This window comes from Homo sapiens, chromosome 6, assembly GCF_000001405.40.
Source record: "Homo sapiens chromosome 6, GRCh38.p14 Primary Assembly".
Classification (NCBI taxonomy): domain Eukaryota; kingdom Metazoa; phylum Chordata; class Mammalia; order Primates; family Hominidae; genus Homo; species Homo sapiens.
Genome location: NC_000006.12, coordinates 87,523,637 through 87,536,356, shown reverse-complemented (window position 1 = coordinate 87,536,356; position 12,720 = coordinate 87,523,637). Strand labels below are relative to the sequence as shown.

General features: G+C 36.5%; 1 protein-coding gene across 39 annotated transcripts in view; it reads left to right on the top strand.

Moving 5' to 3' along the window:
* The window catches only part of RARS2 (arginyl-tRNA synthetase 2, mitochondrial), a 76,050-nt gene that overhangs the window by 53,631 nt on the left and 9,699 nt on the right, over nt 1-12,720 (top strand). For 31 of the 39 annotated variants that reach the window (NR_146747.2, NR_134857.2, NR_146756.2 and 28 more), the window contains 3 exons: nt 5,415-5,573; nt 6,709-6,815; nt 11,705-11,800. Coding sequence is in view for 16 of the 39 variants with exons in the window: in NM_001350505.2 (NP_001337434.1) it covers nt 5,415-5,573; nt 6,709-6,815; nt 11,705-11,800 (362 nt within the window). In the remaining 23 variants the exon portion in view is untranslated. Of the gene's footprint in view, nt 1-1,498; nt 1,623-5,414; nt 5,574-6,708; nt 6,816-11,682; nt 11,801-12,720 lie in introns of all 39 variants that reach the window. The other 8 variants (NR_146757.2, NR_146752.2, NR_146738.2 and 5 more) reach the window with 2 other exon arrangements.

Genomic DNA, 12,720 nt, shown 5'->3' with positions numbered 1-12,720 from the left:
GCAAAAAGTAATTTCTTATGGTAAAAGTTAACAAGTGTTAAATCTGAATCATGGATATGAGGGTGTCATCATTTACTTTTACCTATTTAAATAATACTTTTAAAGGTAACTTATCAGGCTTCCTTTTAGATTTAAATTATTTGAATAGACTTTATTATCTAACAGTATCTCTAAGCATATTAACCTTTTTTTTTGCTATAGAAGGTTTTATTAATAGAACTTGACTCATTGCATATTGCCTATTAATATGGCTTTTGTAACCATAGCCATTCTTATGAAATGTAAGGGCAGCCTCTTATAAGAGATAAATATCATGCCAATAAAATATGGATTAGCCTGTATCCTAGCACTGACATTAAAAAAGGTTACATAGGCCAGGTGCAGTGGCTCACACCTGCAATCCTAGCACTTTGGGAGGCTGAGGCAGGTGGATTGCCTGAGCTCAAAAGTTTGAGACCAGCCTCAGCAACGTGGCAAAACTGCATCTCTACTTAAAAAAAAAAATACAAATAATTAGCTGGGCATGGTGATGCATGCTTGTAATCCCAGCTACTCAGGAGGCCGAGGGACGAGAATCGCTTGAACCCAGGAGGTGGAGGTTGCAGTGAGCTGAGATCACACCACTGCACTCCAGCCTGGGCAACAGAGCGAGACTCTGTCTCAAAAAAAAAAAAAAAAAACAAAACAGTTACATAATAACACAAATAGTATAAAAATTTCTTTAAGTTCAAAATGGCCTCCAAAGGTTCTATTTCAGTATTTCTACCTTGCCCCTTTCTAGCAGGATTTAAGGTAATTACAGTGATGGGCATTTAATAAAAGAAAAATAGTGAGGGGTTAGTGTATCACTAGATAATTTACGTAATAGTTTTGACCCTGAGCTTCCCCATATCAGTAGGCAAAAAAAAATTTTTTTAAATAGGACAAGATCAAAGCACCGATTCAATGAGTGATAATGTTTACTTGCTCTCATTTTTAAAAACATGGAATTAGTATCTATTCCTCAAGACACAATGTTTTTCCTAACTTTAGAGTCTCCAATTTCTCAACTTTAAGTAAATAATTCAAGACTAAATTCTCATCATATGTAGGGATATTTATGCAGTTGAAGTTTTTATTTTATGAAAAATTGCGTTCAAGATTTCATCATTGTTTTAAGTTACATTTCTTTTTCCAGGGAATGTTACTGTTATGGCTAGTATGAATTTTGTTCCTTAATAACATTTATATGTAAGAAATAGTTTTTAAATGATAAGAAAATCTGATTCCAGCTATCACTTGTAAGAGTCAGTGTAAGTCATTGAATTTCCCACCTACTAAATCATGCAAAGTTCCCCAGGCTCTTATGTGTCTCCTAGGACAGTCCTAGAGGACTCTTCTTGTCTTCAGTGCACACTGGTCTCTTACATGTTTAGTATCCCAGCCTGTGTGATGCTTGGAGGCATGCAGCTCTTCTTGTGTGACAAACATTAGCTGGTGGTCCTTGCCCTGTCCACAGGTCTAGAGACAAGATCGCTATGTAGACACACCGTGAACCATTTCCCACTGTGGGCCTGCACCACCCCAGGGGCTTCCTAGCTTCTGCTCTTCTGGAAGTCTTCCCCATCTCCTCCCCATTCCAGGTAATTCTCCTTTCCTCTATCCTGGCAGTTTCTCCACTTGGCCATTGCTCCCTGCTGTCCCTTCCCAACACTGCTTGCTTTTCTACTCTCTCTCTGCTTATTTGGGACAGCACTACAGTGTGTCATTGTCCTCTTAGTCTTCCTCTTAGAATGAGTTTTGAAATACCTAGCAAGAACAAAGTACACATTAATAGCTGAGTAAATATCTGACACCATTGAAATGTGCAAAAAATACTTTTATCAGCATGAGAAATGTTAACATTTATTAGGTGCTTGTGTGTGGTGCTCTACAAGGAGTTAATAATTATCATCCCTGAATAAAGATGTAAGATATAATGAATGTGGTTATGTATATACATAGAGTAAAAGTAGGAGATTCTAAATATGAAAAGATTAATGGAAGGTGAAATACAGTTTATATCCTACTACTAATGTATTAAGGAGGAGAAATTTGATAACTCATGAAATAGCTCAAGTTAGTTATTTTTTTACCTACCACATTTTGGCTTTATTATTAACTGTTTGCAGTATTGATACATTCAATTTTAATTATATAAACACATTTGAATGTCTTTAATTTTTCATTTCATGTTCGGAATCAACTAGCAGCTAAGAAATTTCTGATCAGTGAAACAGCATTAAACATAATGAAGTTGTTCAAATTATAATCATGAATATTTTTACATGTTCTTTTCTAAACTAGGTAAAAATTCAGTGCATTTTAAGATGACATAAATATATGAAAAAAGGGTCTGTGGTTTCTAAGTTTTGCTAACCATCCTTAGCAGTTATTCTCAGTATTTCTAAGATAAGCATGGCTAGAAGTGGGGTTAGAGCCCCACATCAAGGAGTTAAACTGTGCCCATGTGGCTAATGGTATTCTAGGATCAAATTTAAAGGGATAAGAAAGGCTTATCATACTACTTTTAATTTTCATGCTTAGTTCTTTATATTTGGGCAGATCAGCCCAAGAGCTTACTGTAATTATCTGAGTTAAATTCAAAATAAAATGTTACGCTATTTGGCAGGCCCAACATCTAGAAATAGTGAAAAGGGAATGTTAATTTTTTTTAAGGAAGTCTGAGACATTTAGTTTATTCCCTAAAGGAAACACAACTGGTTTTTGTGTTTTCTTCTAAGAGAAAAATTGTGTTTCCATCCTCAAAAACTTTACTAAGCCATGCTGCCTTATTATGAAGCCCAAATTTAAAATTGCCTTTTTATCTCTTTGTGTCTAAATTTAGCCTTAAAAGGAAGATATCTTCAAAATGCGTACTTTCCAAGGGTTAATTAAAAAGGTACATGGTAACTGTTTAGTTTTATATTGTGCATTTATAGGTATATTGGGAAGTGCTTATTAAAGCTCTTCTCTTTGATAGTGTCAGTTGATTTTCACTAATGTTTGTTTTATAAGTACATATTGCGGAAATACTAAGAATATTCACGTTTTAAGGGCTTTTTGTTTTAATTATTTCTATTTTTTAAGAAAGAGAAGATTCTGGTGAAGTTTTTTCTAAAATAGTCATATCATAATGCATAATAGATTTTTAAATGTTTGGTTATTTGAGTTTAAAGTCCTAGATTTAAAAACAAAGAAACTTCACCCTGAAGAAAGGCTTTATGAAAAAAAAAAGAAACTAAACTCTTTTGTGAAAATAAAGACATTTTGCATGTGTTTGCTTATAACTTGTGTGCACATGTATGTATGTGTGTGAGATAGAATCAGAAACCACTTGTGAATATATATTTATGTTTTTAACATCTGTATACTGGACCGTTAAGCAGTTGTCAATGGCTGTGTCATTCAAAAGTCAAGAAGTCCGCAGTTTACTATCTTATGGGGACCCTTTTTGTTTTCCCATACTTTACCAAAGTCTTCTTTGTTTTCTAACTGACATTGTATGTGTTGTTCTGGACTTACTAATAGGACTACATAAACATCACCTTTTTATGATGTGTCAGGTATCCTAAGACCACTCCTCCCCCCGATTCTGTGATTCACGCAGAGGACTCACAGAACTCAGCATAGTCTTACTTGTGGCTATGATTTATTACAGTGAAGGGATACAAAGCAAAATCAGCAGAGGGAAAAGGCATATATGGGGTAAAGTCCAGAGGAAACCAGGCTTTCCAGACTCCCAAATTTTCCCAGTGGAGTCACACAAGGTGCACATACTTCCAGCAGCAAATTATGAGAATACATGTGAAATGTCCACTGGCAAAAGTTCATTAGATACCCTGTGTCCAAGGTTTTTATTGAGAGTTGGTCATGTAGGTACCCTCTGCTTAGAATGTCCTAAATCCCAAACTCCCAGAAGGAAAGCAGAAGTTCAGCCTAAGCTGTACTGTTTGCATCCACAGTGTAGGCACAATGACCACTTTTATCAGTTAAGTTGGTGGAGACATTCCCAAAAATCTAAGTTAATAGATGCCAGCCAGTGGCCAACCTTGCAAGCAGGATGTTTTAAATATAACAGTATCAGACCTGCTAGTTAACTCTTTTCTAGGGGGAAAAAAAAAGGTAATTTTAACTTTATTTAGCAGTATTTATTTATTTAAGTCTGTCATTCCAGTAATTAACATAGATCATCTATGAAAGGTGAAACGTTTTTACCTTGAGAGATGTTTAATGCCCTGTCCCATTTGTTGGTAGTATCTAGTGGGTATAAGCCAATGTGTCCTCCAGCAATAAAATCATTTTTTCCTATCCAAATACTGCTGTCCGGATGTTTTGATAATAACATTGTAAGGGTTTAGAAGCCTTATTTTTTCATAGTTTATTCACCAATTTTTATTGCTTTCATGAGACTTTAATAGCTTTCTGGAAATAATATAGTAAAGTTATCATTGATGTTTCAACCTGCAGGTGAGTTACAATTTGTAAATATTTGTCCATATGTATAACTTCAGTACTACTTGAACTATAATATTAATATTTTAATGTCATTTATTAACATTATATTTTGGAGACTGAAAAATGATTGAAACTACATTGGGAACACAGATTCCTAGAGCTGGAAGAGTAAGCCTGAGCCCTTAATAAACCATCAACTCCACCCTAGTTCTTGGCTGAGTATGGAACTAAACCAGCTAAGACAGGTGATGCAAAATAAAACTCCAGAAGAGGTGCTCAACACAGTTTTTAGGATCTTAAGTTTAGAGTATAATTATACTAACTATCCAAAAGCAGTCCTTTTTACCAAGATCACCTATTGTATTGGTCTTTACACAGTAAGCTATTTAGAGAACAGTTTTAAAATCTTTGATTAAAACAAATGCTAAATCATCCGTTAGCTGTTTCTTTGCCAGATCGAGCCATCCTACTTTATTCAACCTTTTTCAGCGAAGTTACAGGATAATAATATGGCATTTTGAAAAATAACAGAAGAAATGCCAGTTTAGTCTTAAATAGGTATTCTTACCCTGGGGATCTGTGGATTTAGTTGGAAAGAAAAAATTATACTTTGTTTTCCCTGACCTCTCTCGGAAATTGAGTATTTTCCTCCATTACTATATCACAAATTAATTTTTGGCTATTTGGTTATTTCAGAGTAATTCTTTTCTTTGTAACCCTGTGTATTTTATTTTATGAATTTAGAAACATTTTGAGAAGGGGTCTATATGCTTCACCAGGGGCCCATGGCAAAAAAGAAAAAGTTACACTCTGTAATGTACCCAACTTGGAAAATTTTAAATGAGAATTCTCAGAATGTGCTTTTTTTGCTTTCTTTCCGTGTTAGAGATAACAATGACCTGTTATGTACTTCATTTAATGTACTATTGTACTTTTAGGTTTATGTACAAGTTAATAAAGAAGCAGCAGATGATAAAAGTGTAGCAAAAGCAGCACAGGAGTTCTTCCAACGATTGGAACTGGGCGATGTGCAAGCACTTTCACTGTGGCAAAAATTTCGGGACTTGAGCATTGAAGAGTACATTCGGGTTTACAAGGTATTGGTTGACCCTCCCTTCTGCTTTCCCATGATGCAGTGCAGCTCTCGGCTGTTACCTGCATAGTAAAGTTGCGTGTTAAGCTTGTGTTTTAAAAATAGATTTGTAGGTGAATTTAAAATTAAGACTCAAATTTTTTTTTTGGGCTGAAAGAACTGCAAAATAATCCTGAAGCAGTGTCAGGTGATATTCTCATACTTCATTTTTATCTGACTTTTCTGTTCTAGCATTCCTTCACTTTTTCATATTTATTTTTTGTTCTTTCACTTCCTTAGGCTGGTATGTGATGGTTAATAAACTGATTCATTTAATAAACATTTGGTGGGTAGGGGATAATACACAACAGCGAATAGAAGAGGAAAACCCTTGTTCTCGCAGACCTTATATTCTAGCCTAGAGACAGCACAAACTAAACAAATTAAAGATAAAGCAAGAAACAACTATGTTTTTATTAAGTGGTTCTAGATGCTAGCTGGGGAGATCAGGTATGGAGTCTTCAGGTGGAACGACAGTTTTGTAAAGAAGCCCGTGTGACTGGAGTAAGTAAGCAAGATGAACGACAGGAGAAGGTTGAAGAGCTAGTAGCATATGGGGCATGATTCTAGGATTTCTCTAGGGCTGTCCAGTGCTTTTTGTGGTAATGGGAATCTTCTGTATCTGTGGCCGTCTCCTTAAGTAGCCACCAACCACATGTGGCTTGAAGGGTGAATAGTGTGACAGAAGAGCTAAATTCTCAATTTTGCTTAATTCCAGTTTAACAGTATAGATTGTCACTTGGGCCTAGTGATTACTGTATTGCACAGCACAGTACCATTGTGAGGACTTGACTGGTATAGTGGAAACTATTAGGAGGTTTGAGAAGAGGAGTGATTTTTTTTTTTTTTTAAACAAAAATAATGAGGTCCTCGCCATCTTGCCCAGGCTGGGCTTGAACTCCTGGGCGCAAGTGATCCTCCTGCCTCAGCCTCCCAAAGTGCTGGGATTATGGGCATGAGCCACCACACTCAGCCCTTGATTTAATTTTTATTGTGTTCATGTGTGTGACAGGTGGTAGAGCATCCTTAATTTTGCCTTAGGGTAAGAATAGGAGATTCAATTAACATTTCTTTGTCTTTTTGTTTCTGAACTCTTTTAGCGTCTGGGAGTATATTTTGATGAATATTCAGGAGAATCATTTTATCGTGAAAAATCTCAAGAGGTCTTAAAGTTGCTGGAGAGTAAAGGACTCCTACTGAAAACAATGTATGATCAGGTTACTATTCTTCAGTAAAATTATTTGTTCTTTGAAATTGTTATTGATGTATCCTTTGAGTAAGGACAACAGAATGCAATGTGCAGCTTTCTTGGGATTTTTTATAGTGCTTTTTCCTGTTCAGAGTACTTTCCCACATTCTGTATTTTGCTTCCATAGCAAAAGCTGTTCAGGCTTGGAGAAAGGATGTTACTTGTTTTTTATAAGGCTGGGAACTGAAGCACAGAAAATATAAGTGACCTACTTAAGGTCATATAACCTGATAATGATATAACTGAAAAAAGGAAATATATCTTATTATCTTCTGATTCAGTTTTACCTTTTAAAAGAAATCCCTGCCTTTTCAAAAAATATTTAAGGCAGTGTGTGAAGATAAGTATACTATAACAGGCTTATAAATGAGGAAAATGATGAAAACAGGAAGTAGGGGCAGGAAAAGTAATATGAAGTCAGAGATGGTGTTAGCATATCCCTCCTAGAATTCTGTTTTCTTGCTTATGTCAGAGTTTTTTCTTTAAAAAAAAAGTTGTAATTGATGAATGACATATTGTATATATTTATGGTGTACAACATGATTTGATATATGCACACTGTGAAATGTTGAAATCAAGTTAATTAACATACCCATCACCTTACGTACTTACCTATGATGAGAACATTTAAAATCTACCCTGTTAGCAGTTTTCAAGTGTACTATGCATTATTGTTAATTATACTCACAATGCTGTACAATAGATCTCCAGAACTTACTCCTCCTGTTTACCTAAAACTTTGTAGCCTTTAACCAACATCTCCCCATTCCCTGCCCTTGGTAACCTCCATTCTACTTCTCTGCTTCTATGATTATAATTTTTTAGATTCCACATGTGAGACTATACAGTATTTGTTTTCTGTGCATCGTTTATTTCACTGAGCATAATGTCCTTTCAGTTTATCCATGTTGTCACAAATGACAGGATTTCCTTTTATTTTAAGGCTGAATATTACCTGTTGTATATTTTAAAGTCTACTCATCTATTAAGGTTGATTCACATCTTGGCTATTGTGAATAATGTTACAATAACCATGGTAGGGCAGATTTCACTTGGACATACTGATTTCATTTTCTGTGGTTGTATACCCAGATGTGAGTTTGCTGGATCATATATATGGATGTTCTGTTTTCTGTTTTTTGAGGAACCTCCACATTGTTTTCCATAATGGCTATACCAACATTCCCACCAACAGTGTACAAGGGTTCCCTTTTATCCACATCATTGCCAACATTTATCTTTTTTTTTTTTTTTTTTGTTATAAAAGCCATCTTAACAAGTGTGAAGAAATATCTTATTGTGGATTGTGGTTTTAATTTTGTATTTCCCTGATGATTAGTGATGTTCAGCACCTTTTCATATACTTGTTAGCCTTTTGTATGCCTTCCTTGGAGAAATGTCTATACGGGTCTTTGGCCCACTTTTTTTTTTTTTTTATGTTCCCAGGCAAATGTACAGGATGTGCAGATTTGTTACGTAGGTTAATGTGTGCCATGGTGATTTGCTGCACCTGGCAACCCATCACCTAAGTGTTAAGCCCAGCATCCATTACCTATTTTTCCTGATGCTCTCCCGCCTCCCCATCCCCCGACAGGCCCCAGTCTGTGTTCTTTCCTTCCTTGTGTCTCTGTGTTCACATTGTTCAACTCCCACTTATAAGTGAGAATATGTGGTATTTGGTTTTCTGTTCCTGCATTAGTTTACTGAGAATAATGGCTTCTTTGGCCCACTTTTTAGTTGGGTTTTTTTTTGGTAGTGGTGGTGTTGGTTTGGTTTAGTTTTTTTGTTGTTGTTTTTCCATTGAGTTGAGTTCCTTATATATTTTCACATTAACCCCTTACCAGATACATGTTTTCCACGTATTTTCTTTAATCCTCTAGGTTGTCTCTTCATTTTGTTGATTGTTTTCTTTGCTGTGCAGAAGCTTTTTTAGTTTTATGCAATCCCATCTGTGTATTTTTTGCTTTTGTTGCCTATGCTTTGAGGACTAGCTCCAAGAAATCTTTGCCAAGGCTTCAGTGTTTTCCTCTAATAGTTTTACAGCTCAGGTCTTAGATTTGTCTTTAATCCACTTTGAATTGACTTTTGTACATGGTGAGAGATAGGGATCTAGTTTTATTCTTCTGCATATGGATATGCAGTTTTCTCAGTGTCATTTATTGAAGAGACTGTCCTTTCCTTTTTATTTTTTTGAGACGGGGTCTCACTGTATCACCAGGCTGGAGTGCAGTGGCATGATCTTGGCTCAGTGCAACCACTGCCTCCCAGGTTCAAGCGAATCTCCTGCCTCAGCCTCCCAAGTAGCTGGGATTACAAGCGCGTGCCACCATACCCAGCTAATTTTTGTATTTTCAGTAGAGACGGGGTTTCACCGTGTTGGCCAGGATGATCTCAATCTCCTGACCTCCTGATCTACCCGCTTTGGCCTCCCAAAGTGCTAGGATTACAGGCGTGAGCCACTGTGCCTGGCCGAGACTGTCCCTTTCTTATTGTGTTATTTTGGCACCTTTGTCAAAAATCAGTTGACCTGGCTGGGCATGGTGGCTCACGCCTGTAATCCCAGCACTTTGGGAGGCTGAGGTGGGCGGATCACCTGAGGTTGGGAGTTCAAGACCAGCCTGACCAACATGGAGAAACCCCATCTCTACTAAAAATACAAAAATTAGCTGGGTGTGGTGGGGCATGCCTGTAATCCCAGCTACTTGGGAGGCTCAGGCAGGAGAATCACTTGAACCCGGGAGGCAGAGGTTGCGGTGAGCCACGATTGAGCCATTGCACTCCAACCTGGGCAATAAGAGTGAAATTCCATCTCAAAAAAAAAAAAAAATTCAGTTGACCATAAATGTGTGAATTTGTATCTAGGCTCTCTATTCTATTCCATTGGTCCTATGTTTTTGTCTAGTATGATGCTGTTTTGATTACTATAGTTTGTAGTAGATGTTGAGATTAGGTAGTGCGATGCCTCTAGCTTTGTTTTTTTTTTTAAGACAGGGTCTGGCTTTGTTATCCAGGCTGTAGTGCATTGGTGCTTTCTTGGCTCACTACAACCTCCACCTCCAGGTTCAACCTATTCTCCTGCCTTAGCCTCCCAAGTAGCTGGGATTACAGGCATGTGCCACCACACCCAGCTAATTTTTGTATTTCTTAGTAGAGATGGAGTTTCACCATGTTGCCCAGGCTGGTCTTGAACTCTTGGCTTCAAGTGATCCACTTGCCTTGGCCCCCCAAAGTGCTGGGATTATAGACGTGAGCCACCACAGCTGGCCCAACTTTATTCTTTTTGCTCAATATTGCTTTGGGTATTTGGAGGTTTTTTGTGGTTCCATATGAATTTTATGATTGATTTTTCTATTTCTGTGAAAAATGTCATTGGAATTTTGGTAGGGATTGCATTGAATCTGTAGATTGCTTTTGGTGGTGTGGACATTTTTTAAATATTGATTTTTCCAATCCATTAATACAGGATATCTTTCCATTTATCTGTGTTTTGATTTCTTTCATCAGTGTTATATAGTTTTCAGTGTACAGATATTTTACCTCCTTGGTTAAATTTATTCCTATTTTAATTTTGTTGATGTTATTATAAATGGGATTTTTTTTTAAATTTCTTTTTCAGATAGTTTGTTGTTGTGTATAGAAATGCTACTGATATTTGGCTGGGCGCGGTGGCTCACGCCTGTAATCCCAGCACTTTGGGAGGCCGGGGGCGCGGATCACATGAGGTCAGGAGTTCGAGACCAGCCTGGCCAACATAGTGAAAACCTGTCTCTACTAAAAACACAAAAATTAACTGGACGTGGTGGCGCGCGCCTAATTCCAGCTACTTGAGAGGCTGAAGCAGGAGAATTGCTTGAACCCAGGAGGCAGAGGTTGCAATGAGCTGAGATCGTGCCACTGCACCACTCCAGCCTGGGCAACAAAGTGAGACTCCGTCTCAAAAAAAAAAAAAAGAAAAAAAGGCTACTGATTTTCATATGTTGATTTTCTATACTGCAACTTTATGAAATTCATTTATTCTAACAGTTTTTGGCGGATTCTTCAGGGTTTTCCATTTATAAGATCATATTCAGAGTTTTCTATTTATAAGATCATATTGAAAAAAAAAGATTATGTTGCCTGCAGAGACAATTTAACTTCTTTTCCAATTTGGATGCCTTTAATTTTGTTTCTTGCCTAATTGTTTTCTAATTTAGCTTTTAGCTTCCTGTCAGCTAAACAGAGAAATAGCAGTGAAAGAAGCCCAGACCTCTATAATGTAGAGGCAAACCAATTGCTTAAGAGACATGTCACTTTTCATAGTACCAAAGCAAACTTTCTCCTGTCATATTTGTAAGGAAGATGTGAAACATAGTTAATAGCATCCTCGGTAATGTCCTTAAGGAAAATTTTTAGATTGTCATATACAGATTCCAAATTTTGGTCATACAGGAAAGACAAAAATCTGTAGTTTTAATACTTGGGTACTTTGTGGCATGTTAAAAATTATCCCAATATTGAATGTTATAATACCATGAATTAGAAGGAGAATGTGTGACATTTCATAGTTACAATGCAGCTGCATCTCATTTTTCAACTGGGTATATTAAAGAATTTATCTCTGAGTACCTTATCCAGAGCTACAGATTTAAAAGCTAAGATAACCAAATATTAATTACATCATACCCATTCATAAGAGATTCTTGGTCATATTCTTGTTTTTTTCCATTGTTGATTAAAGCTTGAATTGGCACTGCTCATTGCAACGTGGGTAATAAAAATAGCTTCTGGTTTGCTAATGTTTTAGATATTAAAATTTTAAAGGTCTGAATTTATTATGTTGCTTCAGAGTTACCTTTTCGAATTTCTAGAAAAGGAACGGCTGTAGTAGATCTCTCTGGGAATGGCGACCCCTCCTCAATTTGTACTGTAATGCGAAGTGATGGGACTTCTCTCTATGCAACCAGGTTTGTAGCCTCTGTGAGGGTCAACATTTGGTTCTAAATCTGTTGCTTTCAGATGAAACACTATGTACAATTAATTATGCATTATCGGATTCCACAGCTGATGACATTATTCTATAAACTGTAAAACTGAAGTACTTCATAATCAACTAAAAGTATTTTACAATGGCACGTTGGCAGGAAATGTATACTAAAAGATGACCATATTAGCTCAGGGGTTTCCTTATGCTGTAAAGAACATCTTACATGCACATAAATACCAGAACTCATTGGGATTTGGTAAAGCAGGCTGAGGGAGAAAGCAGCCATGTCACATTTTTTTTTCCCATCCATCTCTGTGACTGACCTTTGTGGAAGGGCCAATCTCTGTTCATCAGTAAGAAGTGGGTTTATCAGCACCTTTATTTCTGGGACAAAGCTAATAGGAAAGAGAAGCACTGCTGGCAAAAGTGTCTCCCAGGCCAGAATTTTATATTAGGTCACAAATCACTTTTGTAACACAAAGTCATGATACTTTGTTGTTTTATATTAACTACCATAATTTGTTCCAAACAACTTTAAGCAACCAATTAAGTCTTTTAACTTCCCCTTAGGAAATTCATCTCTTACCTTCTATTACTTTTCGACATTTCCCTTTACCATTTCTATGCAATTGGGATTAGGAAGTGAGAAGAGCTTATATATCTAAGAGGTACATTATTTTTCTAGATAAGCAAATATATATATTAGAAAAGTTTTTTGTATCAACTAATTATTGCTAGATAGATTAAGTAAATAAACTATTGCACAGTGGTTATAAGAAGTATCCATTGAGAACAGAGGCTCTGTAACTATCCGGGTCTGGTTAGTGTCTTTTTTGGGTTATCATTAGGTGTCAGTTTTTCAACACCTATATTTTTCTTTGGAAAAAGAAACATCCCGTC